This window comes from Homo sapiens, chromosome 17, assembly GCF_000001405.40.
Source record: "Homo sapiens chromosome 17, GRCh38.p14 Primary Assembly".
Lineage (NCBI taxonomy): Eukaryota > Metazoa > Chordata > Mammalia > Primates > Hominidae > Homo > Homo sapiens.
Window position 1 is genome coordinate 10,050,621 of NC_000017.11, and position 24,876 is coordinate 10,075,496.

At 49.4% G+C, this 24,876-nt stretch overlaps 1 protein-coding gene across 6 annotated transcripts in view, besides 3 other annotated features; it reads right to left on the reverse strand.

Annotated features, from left to right (window-relative positions):
• Window positions 1-24,876, reverse strand: part of GAS7 (growth arrest specific 7) — a 288,001-nt gene that overhangs the window by 140,015 nt on the left and 123,110 nt on the right. The window contains exon 1 of one of the 6 annotated variants that reach the window (XM_005256832.5): window positions 9,072-9,175. The exons of 4 other annotated variants lie outside the window; for them this stretch is intronic. Coding sequence is in view for 1 of the 2 variants with exons in the window: in XM_047436953.1 (XP_047292909.1) it covers window positions 1,611-1,688 (78 nt within the window). In the remaining variant the exon portion in view is untranslated. Of the gene's footprint in view, window positions 1-1,610; window positions 1,915-9,071; window positions 9,176-24,876 lie in introns of those variants that run through there. One more of the 6 variants, XM_047436953.1, reaches the window with a different exon arrangement.
• Window positions 9,172-9,271: an enhancer, noted in NCBI's record as "active region_11729". NCBI's record gives its function as "activates an Ori minimal core promoter by ATAC-STARR-seq in GM12878 lymphoblastoid cells {active_cell/tissue: GM12878}" and the evidence as "EXISTENCE:reporter gene assay evidence [ECO:0000049][PMID:35858748]".
• Window positions 10,362-10,863: an enhancer, noted in NCBI's record as "H3K4me1 hESC enhancer chr17:9964299-9964800 (GRCh37/hg19 assembly coordinates)". NCBI's record gives its function as "activates a minimal SCP1, AML or CMV promoter by ChIP-STARR-seq in primed H9 embryonic stem cells {active_cell/tissue: H9 hESC(primed)}" and the evidence as "EXISTENCE:reporter gene assay evidence [ECO:0000049][PMID:30033119]".
• Window positions 17,760-18,259: an enhancer, noted in NCBI's record as "H3K4me1 hESC enhancer chr17:9971697-9972196 (GRCh37/hg19 assembly coordinates)". NCBI's record gives its function as "activates a minimal SCP1, AML or CMV promoter by ChIP-STARR-seq in primed H9 embryonic stem cells {active_cell/tissue: H9 hESC(primed)}" and the evidence as "EXISTENCE:reporter gene assay evidence [ECO:0000049][PMID:30033119]".

A 24,876-nucleotide genomic window follows, 5' to 3' on the forward strand; every position in this document is an offset into this window, starting at 1 on the left:
ACCCTCTCCATCAGGCCCAGCTCTCTTCTCCTGAAGCACAAGCTACTTCCCGTCTGTTAGCAGCCAGGCAAACCCCACGAAAGGAAGGGCCCAGGGAGGAAACATCTGTGTATACACGAGGGGTGAAGTCATAAGCCCTCTTGACTTTCCCTTTTGGCAAATCCTCTTCTGCCTAATTTTTTTTCCCCTACATCATTGAGATGCAAAGCTCCATTCAAACAAGGGGGCCTGGAAGACTCCAGCAGCTTCTAGAAACCAAAACTTCCATTCTGCTACAGAGATTCTCAAAAGAAGGTATGTCTTGTTGCACTGGGGTGTGGGTGGGGCTAAGAACAGAAGATAGATGCCCTGCAAACCACTCAGTTGACCACAGACATCCATGTGCTTACCCCTAAACCCAGCTTCTGCCCTTCAGCCAAGCAGAGAGGAAGCTCAAATGCAGGTTCCACAGCTTCTCAGCCATATAACCCTGGCCAAGGCACTTCACCTCTACAAACCTCATCTTTTTTCTTTCCCACATAGGAAAATGCAGATGCCACCACCTACTTCATAGAATTTTTGCAGGGATTAAATAAGACAGTAGAAACAATGGTAGGTACATATTAGCTTCATCCCATACTTTTCCATCCCCTTGAGAAAAGCCATCAACTGAGGTCACCAACGCTGAGTCACTCATGTTGCCCGGACTTTCCCAACAGCACGGCTAAACTCTCCAGAATGATACCTTCTAACCATTCTGACATAAACTGAGCTGACTGAAGGAAAGAGCACGTGAATGACGAGACTAGAATTCAAAGAAACATCAGAATAGGTTCTCATCAATGGCTTTGCGGGCCTAGAGCCCTCCAAGTAAATACATTTGGAAAAGACGTGGTTTCTTGGCTCGCATGGACTGTCCCCTAAAGTAACTAAAGCCATTAGACAAAGAGAAAGCTGAAGGAGACCCTGCCAGTAAAACTCACAGGGCGGAGAACACACGCAAGTCCACGAGGGCTACAACCATACAAAGCTGCTGGGGTAAATGAAAACAAGACCCAGAAACAAACATGGTCCTTGACCAAGAACTGCAAACAAACCAGTGCAAGACCCTGGCAAACTTCTGAAAATGGCCTCATGTGCCTTCATTTGAACATGGGCAAGGGCACTCCAAGAAAATTTCGTACCCCAGATCGATCGCTCAAGCTCCCAAAAATGAGACAGGCTGGATAACAGGCAGGAAAAACGGGTTAAGTTTCCCTTTTTCCCCAGCATTGGATATCCCCCAAATCACATTCACTGCCTTTATCTCACCATTAGATCTTATCTTTTTGTTGTTTTTAGTAGCTAAAGGACTACTGTGGACCAGTAACTTGATATACAGTAGTTTATTTGACCCTTATAAAAACCCTGGGAGGGAAGTATTTATTTTCATTTTATAATCGGGCTAGCTTGAACCCAGTAGTCTGTCTCCAAGACTGGTGCTAGTTCCATCTCACCCCACACTGTCCCCCGATTCCTCCATTTACAATCATAGAAAGCTGATGGGCTGAATGAAAACGAGCCCCAGAAACAAACCTGGTCCCTGACCGAGAACTGCAAAAGGCAGTTCCCAAAACACTTTCCCATCATACCTGAGACTCCTCTGCGGCGTCTAGGAATCCAATATCCAAAGGCAAATACTCCAGGGTTGAAGTTACAGTCGAAGCCATGACCTGCCAAGGCCTTGATCATCAACTGTCAAATTGATAATCAGGTAGAAGGTAACAGGAGATTGCCAGTGGGAAGCCTCATTAACTAGTGGGAGGGGTCCCAGCGGGGAGAAACAGGTCTAAGAGGGTGGGTAGGAAACTACCAAGAGAAGCATCTCCACAGCAAAGAGCCGTGACCAGCACCCTCGAGTGAAATGACACCCTAGAAGGATGCCAACTGAGTGCCACACACTGCGTAGCTGTGAGCAGTTTTGTTTTTCAGCTGGCAGAGCTGGGAGTCCCAGAAGGCACCCCCTGCCCACCCATGCAAAGCAAGTAAGCGGCACAGGCTGCCAGAGGCTCCGTCCTCACCCTCACGCACTCACGCTCAGTCACCAGAAAGCCCCTCTCGTGTAGGCTGAATTCTGGGAGCTTGAGTTCAACTCTCCAGCCCAGAAGGGGAACCACCTTGCTCTGTCTAGTGGGCCAGGCTCCTCACTTTGGGGCTTTCTCCTGGGCAATTTAGCCCCTGCCCCTGCCCAGCTTCTCCTCCCCCGTGCACAGCCACACCTCACCCCCACAGCGGCTCTCCTTTGGGTGGCCTGAGATAAGCGGCCTTCATCCCTTACTCATGGGAGCTCCTTGAGAACAACAATAGTGTCATACTCAAATCCATCCCCAGGCACAGAAAATGTACACAATAAACACACATTGGCTACATGGAGTTCTTCCTGGTCTCTGAGTAGGGTTTTCAGCTCACCTAGAAAGTGGGTTTCTTACTTTCCTGTGGTCACCCAGGCAGCAAGGTGGAGGAAGAGAGGGAAACAAGAAGGCAGAGATGAAAGCACTACCCACACATTTATCTATTTTACCCTAGGAGGAGTCTGGGCTACTTAAATGCTCTCAGGGGTCCCCAAACCACAAATGAATAAAATGGACCAAGGGGAAAAGATCAACAACGGCTTCGCGAGCCTGGGGCCCTCCAAGTAAATACATTTGGAAAAGACGTGGTTTCTTGGCTCACGTGCACTGCCCACTAAAGTAACTAAAGCCATTAGAGAGAAAGCTGAAGGAGGCCAAGTGATCTTCTATGAAAACAGCAGTCTGAGTTACCAATGCTAGATCTGAAATGTACATGTGTGGCTGGCTCTTTACCTACATGATTTTAAAGAACTGGCATATTTTCACCCAAGGACCCCCAGCGCCTGAATGCCTGGTCACCCTGGAGAAGCCCTTGTTTGTAGGGTCACACACCACCAGCCCCATGGGAAGGGAGCCCAGGAACCATCTCTCCAGAACAGTTGAAGGCACCAGGTCTCTTCATCGATGTGGCATCTGTGGAGCCCACAGATGCAAGTGCTGAATCGTCTAGAAAAAACGGGACTGAGATTTGCTGAGATCTCAAAATCTGGAAGAACTCCTCCAGCCCTCTCCGCAGGTACCGACTCTGCCTGGAGGGGCACGGCAGTGAGATCCTTAACTCCTCTTTGGCTAGGGAGCCTCACCTCTCTCCCCCATGGGTCTTAAAAGGAGAGGAGAAAGTGACAATAAGAGGTGCTGGCGTCCTATCCATCCCCTGAGCATCAGAGCGGTGATTCTCAAGCTTCAGCATGCATCAGAAGGGCTGTTAGGACACAGTCTGCCGGGCCCACCCTCCAAGCTTCTGGATCCGTAGGTTTGGGTACCATCCAACTATCTGAATTTCTCACAAGCCCCCAACTGATGCAGCTGTTGCACACGTAGGCACTCCACTTTGAGAATCACTAGTTTCAAGAGAAAAACAAAGACGGTCTGTTCTAAATCGACCTCTGGACCTAGAAGATTAATCTTTAGGAAACATAAATTCACTTTCAGAAAGAAAGAGACTCTTTTAACTTTTTTTTTTTTGAAAAGCATGGCCCTCTTACTTTCCTTCTTTTCATAGACATGGGTGCGGGGAATATTTCCTGCTTTCCCTAACCATAAGAAAAGGAATCCAAATGAAATGAATAATGGCAACTGTTCCACTATTGGCCTTAGCGCTGGTAACAGCAGAGATGGGTGGAGACTGCGCAAATTGGAAACCCACTACTTATCATCAGCATATTGTTGCCAAGCAGGGCGGCAGGCTTGGTGTTGCTAGAGCATCTCGTTTTTGCAAGAGAAGCTGGAAATCTGGATTTTTAATGGAAAACCTGCAGATTTTAAGATGTTGGCAACCAACTGAAACATTTTTAAGTGAAACCATGGGCAACCAAAAACAAAACAACCACTAAAAACCCCCCATGATTCTGTATTTGATTTTGCACACCGGCTACCAGTGTGCAACCCCTGATTGTAACTGTCGGGGGCCTTTATAAGCAGTCGTTTGAAGAGGGGGTTCCCTGGTTCTAACGAATTGAATACCACCCACCTTAGACTAAAGTACCAATCAGCACGTCTGCTCCATACCACACATCCTTTTAGCCAGGACCTCTTACACTGGTGGGTGCAGCTGGATGCCAGCTTCCACGGGATCTGTGAACCCCTTCCAAGGGCTGCAAATGTGTGGCCTGCTCCCACCCACCCGAGAACTGGGCTCCCTGAGCCTGGGCCTAACCTTCTTTGGAAAGGAAGCACAAGACAAGATTCCTGAGGCAGAAGGGACCCTGGAAAGCCTGTCCTACTCAGTCTCTGGAAAGAGGAGCAGCCCATCAGCTGAGAAGGTTTGGAAGTGGAGGAGGTGCGTAAGAAAGCTGAAACAGGTTAAGGAATGAGGCAAACACCACCAGGAGAAAGCAGTCAGGGGCGACACCACACATCAAGCAGGCTGATAGAAGAGCAGGAATTTGGGAACGGAGGAGGAAGCCAGCCAGGCACAGTGGCCTGGGGTAGGATAGTGCACATCCTCAGGTCTGAATGTGAAATGACACAGCCATCATGGTGAGCAGAGAGATGCCCATGGGTAGCAAGCCCAAGCGCTGGAAGCTAGCACCTGGGAACATGGGGCATGGTGGGAAGGAAGGTTGGATCCATGCCTCGTGGGAGATGTAAGGTACCCAAACCTGCAGAGGTAGGGAGAGTAGGAACATGTGCTCTGGGGCCGCTGGGAAGAATGCACGGTGATGTGGCCATAGGCATCCTCACTCTGCCCACAGAAGCTGTCCCCTGGCGGACCTCAGGCCCTGGCCACCTCCCTGTTCCCAGACTTCCTGCTTTCCAGTTGGCTTGTTCATCCCTGTCTGTACCGCACTGCACATCAGCTTCCCAAAATGACGTTGCATCCTGATCCCCACCCCACTGAAAACCCGTCCCCTCCCTTTCCAGGTTGGCCAGGTTTTCCCCCACAAGGAAATCAGCAGCCATCTCCCGGAGACAGTCCAGGCCCATTCAGCCACCGCTGGAGGCCAGCAGTTTTCAAACTTTATTTTCAAAGTCTGGTTCACAATAAAAAACACATTTTACTTCACAACTCAATATACAAAAACAAAGCAAAAGTTTCATGGAACAATGCTTGCCCTTGCCACACATAACGCGCTCTGATATTTTTCCGCTCTGGTTTTTGTGCAGGTTGACACTGATTGCTTGCATTGTGTGACTCATGATGTATGGTTTGGAAAACAATGCTTTACCTGGTCCCAATCTCCATTTTTAGAATCTCTTTTTTTAACTCCATCTCAATCAACAACCCCTATAAAGGATTCCTTCATGATACTTTCTTTGACCCGCCAGGTAGAAGTGAATTATCCCCAATTCTGAATCTCCCAGCCCCTGCAGACTGTATATCATTCACGGGCACTTAGATGATAGTCATATAATTTTTCTCTTTTCTAGAACAGTGTCCAATGTCCGGGTGCAGTGGTTGATATCTATAATCCCAGCACTTTGAGATCGCTTGAGTTAAGGAGTTTGAGACCAGTCTGGGCAACATAGTGAGACCCCCATCTCTACAAAAAATGTAAACATTAGCCAGGCATGGTGGTGTGTGCCTGTAGTCCCAGCTACTTGAGAGGCTGAGGTGGGAAGACTGCTTGAGCCCAGGAGTTCGAAACCAGCCTGGGCAACAAAGTGACAGCCTGTCTCTACAAAAACTTTTAAAATTAGCCAGGCATGATGGTGCACACCTGTAGTCCCAGCTACTCAGGAGGCCGAGGTGGGAGGATCGCTTGAGCCCAGAAATTCAAGGCTGCAATGAACTATGAGCATGCCACTGCACTTCAGGCTGGGGAACAGAGTGAGACTCTGACTCTGGAAAAAATAAGCAAATAAAAAATAAAAATAAATTAAAAAAAAAAGAACAAGGTCTCAGTCTTCGGCTCCAACACTTAAAATATCCGTCAAATGGGCCGGGCGCAGTGGCTCACGCCTGTAATCCCAGCACTTTGGGAGGCCAAGGCAGGTGGATCACGAGGTCAGGAGATCGAGACCATCCTGGCTAACACGGTGAAACCCCGTCTCTACTAAAAATACAAAAATTAGCTCCCTCTCCCTCTCCCGTCTCCCTCCCCACGATCTCCCTCCCCACGATCTCCCTCTCCCTCTCTTTCCACGGTCTCCCTCTCCCTCTCTTTCCACGGTCTCCCTCTGATGCCGAGCCGAAGCTAGACTGTACTGCCGCCATCTCGACTCACTGCAACCTCCCTGCCTGATTCTCCTGCCTCAGCCTGCCAAGTGCCTGGGATTGCAGGCGCGCGCCACCACGCCTGACTGGTTTTCATATTTTTTTTTTTGGTGGAGACGGGGTTTCGCTGTGTTGGCCAGGCTGGTCTCCAGCTCCTAACCGCGAGTGATCTGCCAGCCTCGGCCTCCCGAGGTGCCGTGATTGCAGACGGAGTCTCGTTCACTCAGTGCTCAATGTTGCCCAGGCTGGAGTGCAGTGGCGTGATCTCGGCTTGCTACAACCTCCACCTCCCAGCCGCCTGCCTTGGCCTCCCAAAGTGCCCAGATTGCAGCCTCTGCCTGGCCGCCAGCCCGTCTAGGAAGTGAGGAGCGTCTCTGCCTGGCAGCCCATCATCTGGGATGTGAGGAGCCCCTCTGCCCGGCTGCCCAGTCTGGGAAGTGAGGAGCGCCTCTTCCCAGCTGCCATCCCATCTAGGAAGTGAGGAGCCTCTCTGCCCGGCCCCCCATCGTCTGAGATGTGGGGAGCGCCTCTGCCCTGCCGCCCCGTCTGGAATGTGGGGAGCGCCTCTGCCGGGCCGCGACCCCGTCTGGGAGGTGAGGAGCGTCTCTACCCGGCCGCCCCATCTGAGAAGTGAGGAGCCCCTCCGCCCGGCAGCCGCCCCATCTGGGAAGTGAGGAGCATCTCCACCCGGCAGCCGCCCCGTCAGGGAGGGAGGTGGGGGGCAGCCCCCGCCCGGCCAGCCGCCCCGTCTGGGAGGGAGGTGGGGAGCAGCCCCCGCCCCGCCAGCCGCCCCGTCCGGGAGGTGGGGGGCGCCTCTGCCTGGCCGCCCCTTCTGGGAAGTGAGGAGCCCCTCTGCCTGGCCACCGCCCCGTCTGGAAGGTGTACCCAGCAGCTCACTGAGAACGGGCCATGATGACGATGGGGGTTTTGTCGAATAGAAAAGGGGGAAATGTGGGGAAAAGATAGAGAAATCAGATTGTTGCTGTGTCTGTGTAGAAAGAAGTAGACATAGGAGACTCCATTTTGTTCTGTACTAAGAAAAATTCTTCTGCCTTGGGATGCTGTTAATCTATGGCCTTACCCCCAACCCCGTGCTCTCTGAAACATGTGCTGTGTCCACTCAGGGTTAAATGGATTAAGGGCAGTGCAAGATGTGCTTTGTTAAACAGATGCTTGAAGGCAGCATGCTTGTTAAGAGTCATCACCACTCCCTAATCTCAAGTACCCAGGGACACAAACACTGCGGAAGGCCGCAGGGTCCTCTGCCTAGGAAAACCAGAGACCCTTGTTCACTTGTTTATCTGCTGACCTTCCCTCCACTATTGTCCTATGACCCTGCCAAATCTCCCAATGCGAGAAATACCCAAGAATGATCAATAAATACTAAAAACAAAAACAAAAACAAAAACAAAACAAAACAAAGCAAACAAAAAAAAATTAGCCAGGTGTGGTGGCAGGTGCCTGTAGTCCAAGCTACTCAGGAGGCTGAGGCAAGAGAATGGCGTGAACCCAGAGGCGGAGCTTGCAGTAAACCGAAATCACGCCACTGCACTCCAGCCTGGGCTACAGAGCGAGACTCCGTCTCAAAAAAAAAAAAAAAATCTGTCAAATGTTTGATGTTATAGGAGAAGCCCGAATGACATATTCTGACAGCAATAAAATTGTACTACATTTCACACCATACTGATCAGAGGAGCCGTCTGAAGAACTCCATCTTCGGACAACTCCTCTGGCTGGGCCAGTGTTCTGATACCGGTGCCATCCTCTCCCAGACTCAGGAGAACAGAGCTGTGGCCTGCTATGGTGAGATGCCTTATAGTTTGCAACCCACTCTGCTCTCAGACACATCACACCCCTATCACAGTCCTCAATAGGTTCACACTGGCCGTAACATTGACTCATTGCAATGCCAGGGGAAGATATTTAGCACATCTTGAGGTTAGGTGGGGAAATAGAGCCTCAGAAAAGTTGACAAAATGGTCACACAGGTAGAAAGTGGCTGAATCCACGCAAATCCAAGTTTTGTAGATTCAAACTTCCATGCTCTTTCCAGAGGCCGATCCAGATCAAGTTATACAATCCTGTGTTCATTACACGTCTCCGGCTTGCAAAACCAGAAAGGAACATCAGGGTATGCTGTCCACGCTGTATCCCCTTTCACTGTTGTGTACACCCACACGCTGCCTGGTCCCATGACAGAATGCGCACAAACGTGGCATGCATGAGTAAGTCAGAAGACCAGTGTGGACCTGGTTTCCCATCCCACTTTCCCCAGGGCAGCTGTGTGACATCTGGCAGAGCGTGTCACCTCTCTGAGCATCTCCCTCATCTAGAACCTGGGGGAACTGTATCTGCTGGTTCCCAAGGGCCTTTTCAGGCTTCTCCTGAGAACTCTATTATGCTACTTGGAGCCACGTGGCCTCTACAAATTCTCGCTACACTGGGGAATTAAGAAAAGGCAAACTGAGGAGGAGAAGATCCAAAACAGGAAACTGAGGTAAATCCCCGGAAATCAAGAAAAACTCACTTCCCACAGAGCTCATCTCAGATACTTCCCCTGCCCAAGTGGCTTTCTCTTCTTTCCAGACCCTTGGGTCATGGTGCGACCCAGACTCACTGGATGCATGAGGAGGACTGATACACGGGAAGACAGAAGAATCCCCCAAATCCCCCCCAGAGCAGAGCCAAACCCTAGCCAAGCAAGAGGTCATCCAAGGAAGATTTCTCCTCCTGCAGGAGTGGCGGCTGCCTCGCACTCAACCTGGTCCAATTAGCTTCGAGCATCTGCATCAAAGATAACCAGCAGAGCCCTGGTTCCAACTCACCTCAGCCTTGTGGTGTGTCCTTATGCAAATCTGACACGCTGGTCATTTTCTGCCACCATCCCCACATCCGCTGCTTCCCCGTGGCATCGGCTAATTCACTGTGCAAAGCAGCATTTATATATAGAAAGTTGCAGCCACGCAGGTTAGCATTAAAATAGAGACTTGACGTTGCCGTGGCAACCAAACAAATGATATTCAAAATGAAAGAGAAGTATTCTGCAATCGGGAAAGCATGTCCACAGCCTTCCAGGGCAGCTGGGCCCTTTCCCCCTGAGGGTGGGTGGGATGCCTCTGGAGAAGTGCCTGGTCCTGATGAACCTCCACCTCCCCATTAGGTCACCCACTCTGCTTTCAGCAGCAGCCATCATCCCCTGCACATGCTCCTTCCGGTCTAGAGTGGACCCAAGGCCAAGACACTGAGGGAGTGTGATAATCCAACCAGGTAGAGCAATTTGCAAAAACTCTACTCCTTAAAGCGCCGAGGAGAAGCAGCCCTGGTGCTTTAGTAAGGGTGCTTCTGGAAACAAGGCTGGCCTTCTGCCACTGCCTGCCATAACGAAGAGTCGAGAGGCCACCAGCTAGCCGAGTGACACTGGGCAGGCTTCTGTACCTCTCTGAGCTTCCAGCTTAAAATGAGCTGGGAGTGGGAGGAGGGAGCAGCAGCGCAGGGTCTTCAACCTCATGACTCCGGGATGTGCAACTTTTCCCTGCTACCACCACCTCCTTTTTCTACATTCCTCTTGGATATTGCTGAAGCCCCAGGGCCAGACAGAAGTTACTGATTCCCAGGTCTGGCACATGGAATAACCCTGTCACTTTCATTCTGTACACCTGGCCACCACCCAGAAAGCCCGCAGTCCCCAAGACAGAATGCCTAGATTCTGGTCTTCAAGGAGCTAGGGGCCTTGAACAAATCTTGGACCTTTCTGGGGCTCATTTCTAAATGTCAAAATCAAGTGTTATCTAGAAAGACTGAAATTAAAAAGAATGACAATACCAAGTGCCGACAAGGATGCAGAGCAACTGGAATTCTCACACGTTGCTCGTGCGAACACAAAATGGTATGGTCCTTCTGCAGAGCAGTGTGGCAGTTTCCTGTAACATTAAACATACATTTACCATGTGGCCCAGCGATCCCACATGTAGCCTGTGTTTCTGAACCAGGGGCGACTTTGTCCCCCCTGAGGACATTTGGCAAGCCTTGGACACATTTATGGGTTGTCATGACGGAGGTGGGAGAGGCTGAGTGAGTGCATTAGCTCCCTGCAGAGACCTCTGTTGTTTCCAAAGAGACACCTAGAACCAAGAGTATCTCTGACCTAAGCTGAGGGCTAGAGAGTGGCCTTGGCTGTGCAAATCCACCGAAGGCTCTGTAAATGGTCTCCCTTCTGACCCAGCCCAAGCTCCTAAGCCAGGACCAAAACTGACTGTGCCAATCTGCTTCCCTCTCCTGGAGCAGTTCCCAAACCAAATGCAAACCTCATGGTTGCCCCACTGAACCCTGGAAGAACACAACTTCCTACTTACCCAGAACAACAACTTCAAAGCCACTTTGCGTGGTTGCTGGCTCCGAAGCCACACAGAGATGACGGATTACAAGGAAGAAATCAGAACCATATGGATTTCATATTCAGCAAAATAAACAGAATTACAGCATTGGGGTTGGGCTCAAGAAACCAGGGGACTGTGTGTTTGGCCCAGAGCCCAGGCTTGGTGGCCCCCAGCATGGGCTGGGCTCTCCTGGCCTCTCCTCCCCACCCATGACTCCCACAAACAGCGCCAGGGGCGTCCAGCCTGCTGTCTGCCCCTCCTTGCCAAGGCCCCAGCAAGCAATCCTGCTTCGGCTGACATTTTCGTGTTTTATTGAGTTTTTTTATATCCTCTTTTATGGCACAGTTGAAGATAGTTCAGCTTCTTTTCTAGCTTCGTCCAAAGATGCACACAAGCACCGACAGGAATGCGGTGTCGTTAATGACAGTGTGACAGCTCTGGAGCCTCTGGGGGGAAGCTGTAGGAAGGGGCAGCTGTGGCACCCACCCCCTTTCAGGCCCCTGGTTCATTTCTCCCACAGCGAACTGTGCTGGGCGTTCCCACTCCCAGCCTCCCTCTCAGGCCAGAACAGAGGAACTCTTTCCTCTCCTGGTTTCTAGGGGAACAATATGGCACTCCATGTGTAGCCTGTGTTTCTGAACTAGGGGCGCTTTTTCCCCAGGGGCCAATGGGGCAATACTTGGTGACATTTACTGGCCAAGGACGCTGCTAAACACTCAACAATGCACAGGACCGCCGCCCACAACAAAACAACCATCCAACCCGAAATGTCAACAGTAACATGGCCGAAAACCCTGGTACAGACACACTGACCAGGCTTCAGTTGGTTCCCGGTGCCCCCGACCCAGGTGCATGTCCACGGAGGGATCAAGCTCAGGACTTTTAGAGATCACAGACAAGTTCTGACCTACATGAAGGAGGAAATTTACCATTCTGGTAATTACTTTAAAGTAAATTCTAGGCTGGGCACAATGGTTCATGCTTGTAATCCCAGCACTTTGGGAGGCCAAGGCGGGTGGATTACTTGAGGTCAGGAGTTCAAGACCAGCCTGGCCAACGTGGCGAAACCTCGTCTCTACTAAAAATACACAAATTAGCTAGGCATGGTGGTGCACACGTGTAATCTCGACAACTCAGGAGGCTGAGACATGAGAATCACTTGAACCCGGGAGGTGGAGGTTGCAGTGAGCCGAGATTGCGTCGCTGCACTCCAGCCCAGGCGACAGAGTGAGACTCTGTCTCAAAAATAAAATAAAATAGAAAATAAAATAAGTTCTACAACTGATCGAGATATCATTTGATCTTCCAATGATTCTCCATGGATATAGAGAAAAGTTAAACAAACTTTAAAAACATAAAACACATCTTGCCCATAGAAACCACACGAACACAGTGGGCACAGATCATTTAAATATCCTGATGTGAATAACTTTAAATAACACAGCTAATTCTGCTTTGCTGGTGGGTTGCTTTTTGGTCTCAGAAATCCCTGAACCAGCAAATCAGGGCTGCTCACATCCCTATTCTCTCCCTTTCCTTTCTTCTCTCCCCCAGGAGTGCTGAGCCACCATTAGCTGACACTAATTCCTAATGACCCTGCAGATCTCAGCTCCCACCGCAAATGCCCTCTCACCCCCCAGGATCCTGTGGGTAGCCGAGCAGTCCTGCACCACGTGAGTGAGGCCTGCAGTACTTGGGGCAGCCCAGGGGAAGGCAGGGATGTCCAGGGAGCTCCATCCACACTGTGCAGACATCAGGGGGCACACAGTAGGATGGACCCCTCCCCACAGCAAAGGCAACCCTTGCCTCGCTCTGTGCTCCCACTTACCTGCTGGCTGGGTTTGCCAGAGTGGGCCAAGAAAGGGAAGCAGAGTGGCTCTGTGGTGGTTTCATGGGGTTTCCCCTAGAGGAACAGACAGGCAGAACTTGCTAATGCCACTTCTTTGTCATTCTTGCAAAAGGAGTTCCTGCTCCTGCCTACCTCCATCAAAATAATAGGCAACGGCATGGTGGCACCTGGCACGTGTGTGTGCGCGCGCACGCGTTTGTGTGTCTGTGTGTGTGTGTGCGTGCGCATGATACTCACAAAGACGTCCCCATGTCCTACACCTCAGGAGGACCCCTTCCATCCTGCTCTCTCTGCTGAGGAAACCTCTTATTTAACTTCTCAGTTGCAATGATCCACCATTTTCTGCCAAAGCTACCATCTCTGCTCCAAAGCAGAGAAGCAGCAGCTCCGGCAAAACCCTGACAAATCATCTAGTTTCTATGATTATGCTTATTCCAGAGAATGAATTCAAGGTTCAAACAGTTCGGCAGTTTGCCCCAGGCAAACTGGGGCAGAGTGCATACACTTAAACAGCTAATAATGGCGGTGCCGAGATCAGGGTGTCAGGGTGAGGATCTCATCCAAGGTCAGGCTGCTAACAAGATACGACACTGAGGGCTCAGCCCTGCACATCTGGCTCTGGAACTCTTAACTCATCACCTCCACTCTAACCTGTTCACCACGGCAGCTTCCTGACCACCGTCTAGTATGGCTCCACCCTGGGTCACCCTCCCTGGTCAAATGCTTCCTTCAAGACACTCAGGTCATGGGCTTCCCCTTGCACGGGTGGTGAGGGGGGCAGAGGAAGCATCTTTTTTTCATCCAGCCACAGCAGTTTCTTTGTTGCCTCAATGCCCCTAGTGAGTCACCTCCTCCAAAGGCCATTGCCAAAGAGAGCACCATTTTAGCACGAGCGCTCGTCCCCACTTCCCTTTTCCATTTCCCAACATGGCCCTCACCAGCTCGAACATTAGTCACACACGTGCCAACAGAAGTTCAAAGATGCTCCGATAATGTGATTTGTAAACACGAAGTCCCAGCAGCGGCGGCTGCTGCAGCTTCTTGGCTCTCTCACTCAATCCCCTACACCTTCTGGGGCCTCCCAGATTGACGTTTTCATTTCCCGGGCTCCACGACACGCAGGGACTGTGAGTCTGCTTTTCACACGTGGGAGTCTCGTGCCAGAGGCTGGGGCAGAGGAAAAGCCTCACAGCATGATCTGGCATTTCCAAGCACACCGTGGGGGTCTGTGACCTACAAAGCACAGCAGGCTCTCGTAGCATCTGTATGCTGTGTGGGCCTGCCCAGCAGGCCATACGTACCCCGGCTTCTGAAAGAAGCACCCTGATTTTTCTACTGTGGAACCACCTCACCTCATTCTCAGCCCTCGAGGTTTCCGGGAGCAAGTGGCTCCTGCCTGGCCAATTAGCACGTGCCCTCTCCCCAACCACGGTACTAGTTCACGAAGGGGCATATTACCCATCTGGGGCTGGATACCTGGAATTTGGTTTTGGAATTACTGGGGAAAGATGTATTACTATGACAAGATGCAAGCCTGAAGCTGCTGATGGTCACGCTGACAACTCGCAGAAGTCTCACTGAGAATGGAGCCAATGCAGAAGGAAGAGGGCTGATGAGGAAGACAGGGAATCAGAGATAGAGAAACATCAGACTGCTGACACTGTTTGTTTAAGCCACTTGATCAAACCATGCCTGAAGCTGAACTTCCTGGGACTGTTCCTTTTTTGTCTGAATCCAATTTGAGTGGGATTTCTTTTCACTGGATCTCGCTCTGTCCCCAGGCTGAAGTACAGTGGTACAATCATAGCTCACTGCAGCCTCAAACTCCTAGGCTCAAGTGATCCTCAGCCTCTCAAGTACCTGGGACTACAGGTGTGTGCCACCACACCTAGTGAATTTATTTTTTATTTATACAGATGGGGGTCTCACTACGTTGCTGAGGCTGGTCTCAAACTCCTGGGCTCAAGTGATTCTTTTGCCTTGACCTCCCAAAGAGCTGGGATTACAGGTCTAAGCCTGAATAGGATTTCTGTAACATTTAATAGAAAGAGTCCTGGCTAATAGTTCCTTGGTAAAGGGCAAGGTATACAGATAGCAACAATCAAAACTAAAGAACATAAAGCAGGGAGAATTTAGAGATTTGGTTCCTTTCTTGAGCCTGCACTTGTGGGTAAGCTTCTCTTCCAAAGATATCTGCATTTCTAAAAACCTTCCTTTGGCCACTATAACACTTGGTGTCTTAAAGCAACAGAAATGTATTCTCTCACAGTTCTGGATGCCAAGCTTCCAAAAATTAGTATCACTGAGCTGAAATCAAGGTATTGATAGGGCCATACTCCTCCCAGAGGGTCAAGGGGAGAACTCAGTCCTTGACTCTTTCAGCTCCTGGTAGCCGCTGGCATTCCTTGGCTTGTGGCTGCATCACTCAAATCCTACTTCCCCAATCATACCCTTTGTCTTCTATCTACAGTCAAATCTCCTTCAGCTTCTCTCTTATAAAGATGCTTGTGATTACATTTAGGGCTTACTCAGATAACCCAGGAAAACCTTCTCAATTCAAGATCCTTAACGTCATTGTACCTGCAAAGACTCTTTTCTAAATAAAATAACATTCCCAGGTTCTGGGGATTAGGACGTAGACAATCTTGGAGAGCCACTATCAGCTGCCCTCATCAGGCCAAGTTGGACCATGGATCAGAAATGTTGCTGTCAATACCTCTGATGCTTCCCCAGGTCCTCCTGGCTGGGACCTCTGGGGCCAACTGTGCCAGTCACATAACACTGGAAGAAGAAATAGCCAGAATGTTGGAGCTGGACTCAGAGTGGAAGATATGCAAGAGCACAGAGTGCCAGGGAGGTTCAGCAGGATTGGGAGCCCCAAAGGAGGTCTATCCGGAGCTCAAGTTAGGGGGCTGTATGCTTGGGGCCAAAATGTAACTTGACCTTGAGATAAGATGAAGGGAATTACAGTATACCCCTCTCCATAACCCCATTTCCCCAGTGACCAGATTGCTATGGCGTAGGGTAGGAAGGCACCATCTGTAGTGGAAATGGGAGGGAGAGGAAAGTAGGGACTGAAGAAGCACAAGAGAGACTGTGACAAGGAGCCAAGGCCAGGCTAATTTGTCGCCCAAGCTGGAGTGCAATGGCATGATCTCGGCTCACCACAACCTCCGCCTCCCGGGTTCAAGCGATTCTCCTGCCTCAGCCTCCTGAGTAGCTGGAATTACAGGCATGCGTCACCACGCCTAGCTAATTTTGTATTTTTAGGAGAGATGGGGTTTCTCCATGTTGGTCAGGCTGGTCTCAAACTCCCGACCTCAGGTGATCCGCCCGCCTCGGCCTTTCAAAGAGCTGGGATTACAGGTGTGAGCCACCACACCCAGCCTGGCCAGACTACTTTTTTTTGTTTTGTTTTTTGTTTTGCAGAGACAGACTCTTGCTATATTGCCCAGGCTGGTCTTGAACAGCTGGCCTCAGGCCATCCCCTCACCTCAGCCTCCCAAAGCACTGGGATTGCAGGTGTGAGCCACTGTGCCTGGCCTACAAGGTCAATTTTTTTAAAAACAGTTAACTGTTTATTTCAAGGTCTATTAATTAGGAAAAAACATATAAGTAGTTTGAAAGCCTGAGATGTGACTGTCATTCTGCAGGACATCAGGACAGCCTTTCTCTGCTTGGATTGGCTCCTGGGGTCACTGAATTTTGGAGTCAGGGGGAGCATTTCTAGGTCACCAAGTCCTGACAGTGTAGTGGTGAAGAGAGTAGACTTGGGAGCCAGACTGCCTGGGTTCAAATCCATGCTTTCCCAGGACAAGTTGCTTGATCTAGCTGGACAATCTCAAGTCAGCAATTCCCGTGAAGACAAAAAATAATAATGATGATGTAAGTATTAATAATAATACCTGTTACAAGGATCAAGTGAGTTAATAATGTACACAAAGCATTAAAAATTGGCCTCTCTTTGCTGACACTGCAGGCAAGTGATAGCTCCTTCTCCCAGCTCCATGGTTCTGCCATCCTTTACAAAAGGCTCTGATGAAATATGGGGGAGGGATGGGGTGGCGGGAGTGGAGTTTCCAGCCCACCACAGCAGAGGCTCCTCTGCCTTCCATTTTATTCCAACTCCCTTCACTTCTTCATGCAGACAAGTGTCCCACTTCTTTTTTTTGAGATGGAGTCTCGCTCTGTTGCCCAGGCTGGAGTGTAGTGGCGCGATCTCGGCTCGCTGCAACCTCCGCCTCCTGGGTTCAAGTGATTCTCCTACCTCAGCCTCCCAAGTAGCTGGGACTATAGGCGCATGCCACCACACCTGGCTAATTTTTGTAGTTTTAGTAGAGACGGGGTTTCACCATGTTGGCCAGGCTGGTCTCGAACTGCTGACCTTGTGATCTTGCCTCAGCCTCCCAAAGTGCTGGGATTACAAGTGCCCGCCACCACACCTGGCCAAGTGCCCCATTTCTGAGCTTACCTCAGCCCTATACCCCCACCCCCTCTGGCTAGGGGGTAATCAGAAGGAAGACCAATAGGACCAATGCTGAATACCTGCCTGGTGATTCACACAGAATAATCAGGCCAACCTCAAGCTAGGAATGTCTGCAAACACCTGTCCTAGTCCCCCTACACCATGACAGTTCTTTGAAAATACATCCCAGACACTCTCCATTAACCCTGCCCAGCCCTGGTTCAGGGTGGGCCTGATCGGAGACCATCAACCATCTCCTGTAAGTCTAAACAGAGGCTCAGACCGGGAGAAATAGATTCATACATAACTGAATCAGGTCCTTCGGAGGAAAGTTGATATCAACATTCCTTAACCTTGACACTAACCACTGAGGTGTGGTCACTGTTACGTTTTGTAAAGAATCGGGGTGTGGCCTCTCTGATATTATAGGTCCAAACCAATGGTCTCTACCTTGGTCATTCCCATGAAAACTATTTTGGGATTGTGCTCTGTCCTTCAGAGGCTTAACACAAACCATACCTGAGACTTCAGCCACACATAAACACACTCCAATACTTCCTCCCAAACCTTTTAAGCTGCTTTGTACGAAGCACAGTGACATCACACAGCACCCCAAAGAGGGACAGGCACCCCCATATGCACTTGATAGGCCGGCTCTTCCCAGAAGCATCATCAACTCCTTCAGGGCGCTTCCCTAAGTTTGATCCTAGGAGAACTTCTGCGGAACCTTTGCTAGAAAGCCCCTGACCCATTGAACCAGGATGACCCACTGACCCAGATGAAGCCCTGGGTTTCCTTCCCTGACCTGAAAACAGAGGCAGGCTATGCTGGGAGTTCCCAAAACCACCCTCAGCTCTGATGTTTCCCAGAAGGACTCATGGGACTCAGCATATGTTTTACTTCTGGTAAAGACTTATGGCCAGACACAGTAGCTCACACCTGTAATCCCAGCACTTTGGGAGGCTGAGGCAGGAGGATCACTTGAGGCCAGGAGTTCAAGACCAGCCTAGACAACATAGCAAAACCCTGTCTCTTAAAAAAAAAAAAAAATCACAAAATTAGCCAGGCATGGTGGCACACGCCTACAGTTCCAGCTTCTCGGGAGGCTGAGATGGAAGGATTGCTTGAGCCCAGGAGTTTGAGGCTGCAGTGAGCTAGGATCGTACCACTGCAATCCAGCCTGGGTGACAGAGTGAGATCCTGTCTCTATTTTTTTTTTAAGGGTCTTATTACAGCAAAAAAATACAAAGCAAAATCAGTGAAGGGACACAGAACCTGGGACAAGGTCCTGAGAAAACCAGGCGCAAGTTCAGGAGTCCTCTCCCAGCAGTCACATAGGATGTGCCTAATTCCTCCAGCAGTGAGTCCTGGTAGCATGTGTAAAACACTGTCTAGCAGGTAAGCTCATTACAGACTCAGTGCCCAGAGTTTTTATAAGGAGCTGGTCATGTAGGCATCCCCTGCCTAGCACAAACATGAATTGCAGACTCCCTGAAGAAATCCAGGTATTCAGCACAAACCGTATTACTCACATGAACAGTTTAGAGAACAGCCACCCTTACTATTCAGGGAATAGTGGGAGCCCTTCCTAAATGCAAGTTCCCAGACACCAGCCAAGGAACAATGTTGCCAGCAGGCCTTTCTAAGGAGGGCTCCCCGGCCTGCTACGTTGACTCTCTCTGCACCATGTCCGTGGAATGGTTACTTGAAGGGATTTCCCCTTTTGTCTGCCCATCCAGTGGCAGAATCCTGCCACTAAATCCTCAACAGGTGACAAGCCTCTCAAACACTTGTGCGGACAGAGAGCTCACTCCCTCACAAAGCTTCCTCTTCCATGTTGGCCTGTGATCCTTGCTAGTCCAGGAACACCAGCCTCTGAGTTCAGTATTTCATGCCAATAAACACTTCACATAATAACCACCACTACTATGATGTTGGGTCAGGCCTTGGGCCAAGCACATGACAAGCATGAGCTCATTTAATATTAATGTTTTATGATGGAGTCAACTATGCCTTAGAGACGCAAAGCGACTTGCCCAAGGTCACAGTGTTAATGGGTTTGAACTGTGGTCCATTTGACCCCACAGCCGGAGACCCTGAACCTCCCACACCCAGTATCTCCCGGGAGCCTATCTTTCACTGATCACCATTCTAATTTTCAGCATACTCTCATACCACTTTTTCCTCTTATTTGCTAATATTTTTAGTTGACTCACTTTTTTCTTTTAAAAATTGCACTGAACAGAAAATTGATGTGAGTCTGTGAATGGAAAACTAGTGACATTTGCCAGAAATCTATAATAACCATAAAAATAACCACAACAAACACCAAGCAATGTTATTCAATCTTTGCTGGATACTGCTACCTGCTGAGGCCTGCCCTCACCCGGCACCTCCCAAAACTTTCTCCTCAATGTAATCAGAAGCAAGGAGAGAACTGCAAAAGGAATACCCTTCTCTTGATGTGATTCACTGGTACTGAAAGTCTCGTCCAGAGACCACCTAAACCCATCTTGGCACAGCATCTCGGGAAATGCTATACTAGACCATAGGCACTAGATGACCTGCCCTGTTGAGCTCATTAGTCCCAGCAGGGACTCCTAGCTTTCTATGCACCCCACTCCTCTATCCCCAGTCTTGAGGTTTGTTCCATCTCCTTCCTCTCTCATTCATTCTCATTTATTCGCCAACTTTTGTGGCCACTAAGTCCTGGGAATCATCCAGCCACCAGCCTGGGTCAGCTGCCCAGCCTCCCAGCCCAGCTCTCCCTTCGTTCTCTCTCTTCTTTTTTTTTTTTTTTTTTTTTTTTTAATTTTTAATTTTTGGAGATGGAGTCTCGCTCTGTCACCCAGGCTGGAGTGCAGTGGCACGATCTCAGCTCACTACAACCTGCGCCTCCCAGGTTCAAGCGATTCTCCTGCCTCAGCCTCCAGTGTAGCTGGGACTAAAGGCCTGCGCCACCATGCCTCGCTAATTTTTGTATTTTTAGTAGAGACGGGGTTTCACCATGTTCGCCAGGCTGGTCTCGAACTCCTGACCTCTGGTGATCTGCCTGCCTCAGCCTCCCAAAGTGCTGGGATCACAGGCGTGAGCCACTGTGCCCGGCCTCCCTTCATTCTCTTTCTGTTTTCATGGGTTCTGCTCAGCTTACCAGGCTACTAGCCTGGTCTTGCAGAGAGAAAATGCCAGCAAAGATGCCGTCCCTCCTGCCCTATTCTAAATCTAGAGTCTAGGGAGAGGGAGGCAGAGGCAGAATGGGGACATCACAACCTATGGGACAGAGGTTGGGGTGGTGGCGAAGGAAGAGCATACAGAGAGTAGAAGTCAGAAATGTGCTATTAGGTTGGTGCAAAAGTAATTGCGTTTTTTGCCATTAAAAATGGACAAAATAGCAATTACTTTTGCACCAACCTAAATATTTCTCTAGAAACCAGGGACTCCCACATCCCCATCCCTGTCTGACTCCTACACAATCCTCTGGCCTGGCATCTGGAACACCTGCTCAGCCCAATCATGAACTCAAAGGAGCCACCTGACTGGGTCAGAGGGTCCCACACAGAAGCCAGTTGGTGGGGTGTTCCCAGCCAGCAGGACCCCAAAAAACTCCAAGCAGAGAGAGCCAGTGAGGCGACTTGAGAGCTCAGGCTCATGAGGCAAACAGAGCTGTGTTTGAGTCCCGACTCCACCATCCCCTTGGGCAAGTGGCTTTGCACATCTGAGAAATGGAACCAAAAATATCACATACTACTCAGGGTTGTTGTGGGAAGATGCGAATCACCCTGGGTCTGTGCCCAGGATACATTATTTTCCCAGAGCTGGCTGTAGGACTGGGGCCACAAGAACAGAAAATGGGTGAAGGCAAAGTACAAGTATAGTCACCCCCATGTCACAGAGAACAGCCAGACATGAGGAGGTGGGTGCAATCGGAGGCAGCGCAGACAGCCGAGGGCTCACCCTGCAGACCAGAGGCTGCCTACAGGACCACTGGATGTGCTTTGCTTGACCTGCAGACCTTTTTAAAAAAAAGTTTTGACTTAGCTTCAAGCATACAAAAACCAAGACAGGTCTTGTGAAAAAACAAATAAAGGCCAGGCGCAGTGGCTCATGCCTGTAATCCCAGCACTTTGGGAGGCCAAGGCAGGCAGATCACCTGAGGTCAGGAGTTCAAGACCAGCCTTGCCAATATGGTGAAACCCCTTCAAATAATAATAATAATAATAATAAACAAAAATTAGCTGGGCATGGTGGCACGTGCCTGGAATCCCAGCTACCTGGGAGGCTAAAGCAGGAGAATCGCTGGAACCCAGGAGGCGGAGGCTGCAGTGAGCCAAGATCGCACCACTGAACTCCAGCCTGGGCAACAGAGTGAGACTCCATCTCAAGAAAAAAAAAAAAAAGAAAAGAAAAAAAAGAAAAGATTCAGTTGTCTCTTGAAAAGTCAGGTGGACCATACTGCAGGTGCTATCGACAGGATGAGGAGAAATGCTGCCACGTTCTCCACCATTCTCTATCACAGTAGTCTGCAACCCTGGCTGCCCATGAGAATCACCTGAGAGCTTAGAAATGCCCTAGGAAGCCCCTGTCCCATTAAACCAGGATCCCTAGGGCTGGAGGTAGGGGGCTGATCTGAAGTCATTGGCCCTGAGGAAGCACCTCTACCTGCCTCACTCAGCGCTATTACCTGCCGGGCCCAGACACTATCTGCCCCGATACCTGGTTCAGGCAAGATTCAGGAATAAGGAAAGACTGGGGCCCCAGAAGACAAACCCAGCACCCAGGCCCCTGCTGGCAGCCCCAGCTTTAACTTAGTCCACTCCACAATGTCTTCACTGGAGGGGATGAGGAGCTGGCTTGGCATCCCTGTTCCCCTCCCCCAGCCTTCGCCCATGGCTGCATTACCTCTGTCCACCCTGAGAAGGACAAAGCTCCTGAAGGCCAAGACTCTGTGTAGAGAAGAGCCAAGGCAGGAGTCCCATGAGCATTCAAGTTCCAGGTTCTCCTGCTGTCTAACAGATGCTTCTGCCTTCAAATATGCTTTCTGTAAAACCCTAGAGCCACACCATCGCCTTAGAAACCTCTGGTTCCATCCCTCTCTGATAGAAGCATCTATCTGTCCACAACCCTACCCCGATCCACAGGAGTCAATATAAATGTAAGGTAAAGAACAGACCAGACGGCTTGCCAGCACCGTTTCCGAGACGTGATGGGGAGAGAGGCTCAGGGAAGTGCTGGCGCCCATAGTCTGTCTGGCCCCAGGATTGGTGCATTAGTGGCTTATCTGCAATTTGGGGTATTTCCCACTGGTTTTGTGCCATTTCTCTAAAAATGGGGAACTAAAAAAAAAAGAAAACAAAAACAAAAAAACAAGAAAGTGGTGTCATCACTCCCAGGTCCATTCCATCATTCTAAGTAAATGGAGCAAAGTGGTCTATGTCTAACCCAGGGCAGGTGGCACGATGGAAATAGAAAAGGTGGCCCTCCCCGGCCCAGGACCAGAGTGACAGCAAGGCAAAGGCTCGCTGGAATGAGGCAAGGAAATGGGATTTTGATTGCATACACAAAGCGTGGCACAGCCAGAGAACAGTGACAAGTGACATGTGAATCACACAGATGAGGGCTTCCCAGGACTCGACGTGTCCCAACAGGCCGTGTGGCTCAGCCGGAGAAACAAGAAAATGAGGGCAGATGTAATCACTATGCAGGTACCTCAGTGAACTAATTCCACCCCAGGGGCTCTGACACAGCTGGAGACAGGCCTGTTTCGGGATGCACAGTTTAAAGTCAAGGGGCACTCCTCCCCAGCCAGTGCAGGCTTGGATCCTTCACACTCACTGGTAACAATCCTGGAAGTCAGAACACAGGACTTATTCTCCAAGCACAGGATCATTTTGCTGTCCTCAAGCACCTGGGGAGAGCAGGTGACAATCTACACCTTGCTACTGAAAGCCTTGCTGTTATATAAGACGTGGTCCATAGACCAGCAACACTGAGCTTGTTAGAAATGCAGCATCTGCGCCCCGCTCCCCTCAAGACCTCCTACATCAGACTGTATAACAAGTGCTTCAGGTGAATCGTGCGCACATTAACGTTTGAGCAGCACTAATTTAAAGCTTATGAGCTATTTTACCAGTGCACAAGGGAATTTCTAGGTACTACTAGGTACTGATCAAGTGCGTGACAGCTACACGGGCGCTTGAGGAATTTCGAGACAGTTTCAGTCGAGGCATCTCACCCTGACTTTTTTCTCAACTGAATTCAAGGCTGCAGCTACTTCCTCAGTTCTCTAACTCACTTATCAACCAAGGCAATCTCAGATGAAAATGTTTTCCCATAGCCATTGAGCCTGGCAGAGTAACATCTCAGGATGTATTTATCCACCTGTTTACTTATTTATCTGTGCTTCATGCTTACTCAAACATTTATTGGGCACCTACTATATGTCAGGCGCTGAGAATATGCAGATGAATGACCCCAGCCCTGTCCCAGGCAGAGCTTACTTTCTGGAAGAGAGAAAGATGGCAGGCAGCCACGCAGCAGTGTGATGGACGTATGCAACGATAACAGGAGAAAGCAGGTGCTGAGAAAGGAGTGGGCGTCCAGAAAGTTCCTGGGAGGGGGGTGCTGCCCAAAGGTCATCGTAAGGACAGGCTTTCTCCTTGCCAGGCTTTTCTCTGCTTTTCTTGCTCCCTCCCATCTTGCTTTCTGCTGGATTGATTGCATATTCTTTATTCCCCCTCCCTCCACAAACTTTGCATTTATAGAGTCTATTTATACTACTTAGGTGGTTACACTGACATTTTTAACATGTACACTTGACTTCAAGCAGAAAGCTAATCAATAGCTCTTTTCTCCTTCTGAATAATACAAAACCCTGGAAGGGTTTCACTTCGATCTCCTCCCTCCTACCTTCTCAGTGTTGGATAGCAATGAATCAGACAAAGATGCTATTTTCCCCCAAGTTCTGGAACTCCCTGGTTATTTGTTCTCTCCTGCCACTGACAATTTTCCAGGAAAATAAAAATTCCAAATTGACTCAAGAGGAAATAGAAAACCTGAATAGGTCTATAACCTTCAAACGAATTGATTCGGCAGTCTAAAACCTACCTTAAAAAACTGTACCTGTCGGTGTGGTTTTACTGATAAGTTTTCTCAAATCGTTAAGAAAAAACCACTTAATCCAATCTCTTCCATAAATAGAAAACATTCAGCTCCTTTTTATAATACCCTGATATCAAGTTCAAAGAAAAACAATTGGGAGAAGAAAGGAAGTAAAAGCTCCTAACCTCACTTAGAGAATAGGTGTAAAAATTCTAAATAAACATTAGCAAATCCTGGAAATGCAGAGATATTGAAATATCAGAAAACTTATTAAACTCACCATATCAAAAGAAACTACAAAAAAAAAAAATAGGATAATCTGGATGCAGAAAAAGCACCGGACAAAACTCGACACTCATTTGTGATTAAAACACACACACCAGGACTAAAGTCTGATAAATTATAACTATTGAAAATTAAGGGCTGGGAGCGGTGGTTCACACCTGTAATCCCAGCACTTTAGGAGGCTGAGGTGGGCAAATCACGAGGTCAGGAGTTTGAGACCAGCCTGACCAACATGGTGAAACCCCACCCCTACTAAAAATACAAAAATTAGCCAGGCGTGGCGGCACACACCTGTAATCCCAGCTACTCAGGAGGCTGAGGCAGGAGAATCGCTTGAACCCAGGAGGCAGAGGTGCAGTAAGCTGTGATTGTGCCACTGTACTCCAGCCTGGGTGACAGAGCAAGACACTGTCTCACAAAAAAAAAAAAGAAAAAGGAAATTAAAATAAACTTCATACTTAATGGAAAACCCTGGAAGCTTTTCTGTTAAAGTCAGGAATAAGACAATGCCATTCACCATCATGGTTTCCTTTCTGCACTGAATATATTATAACACA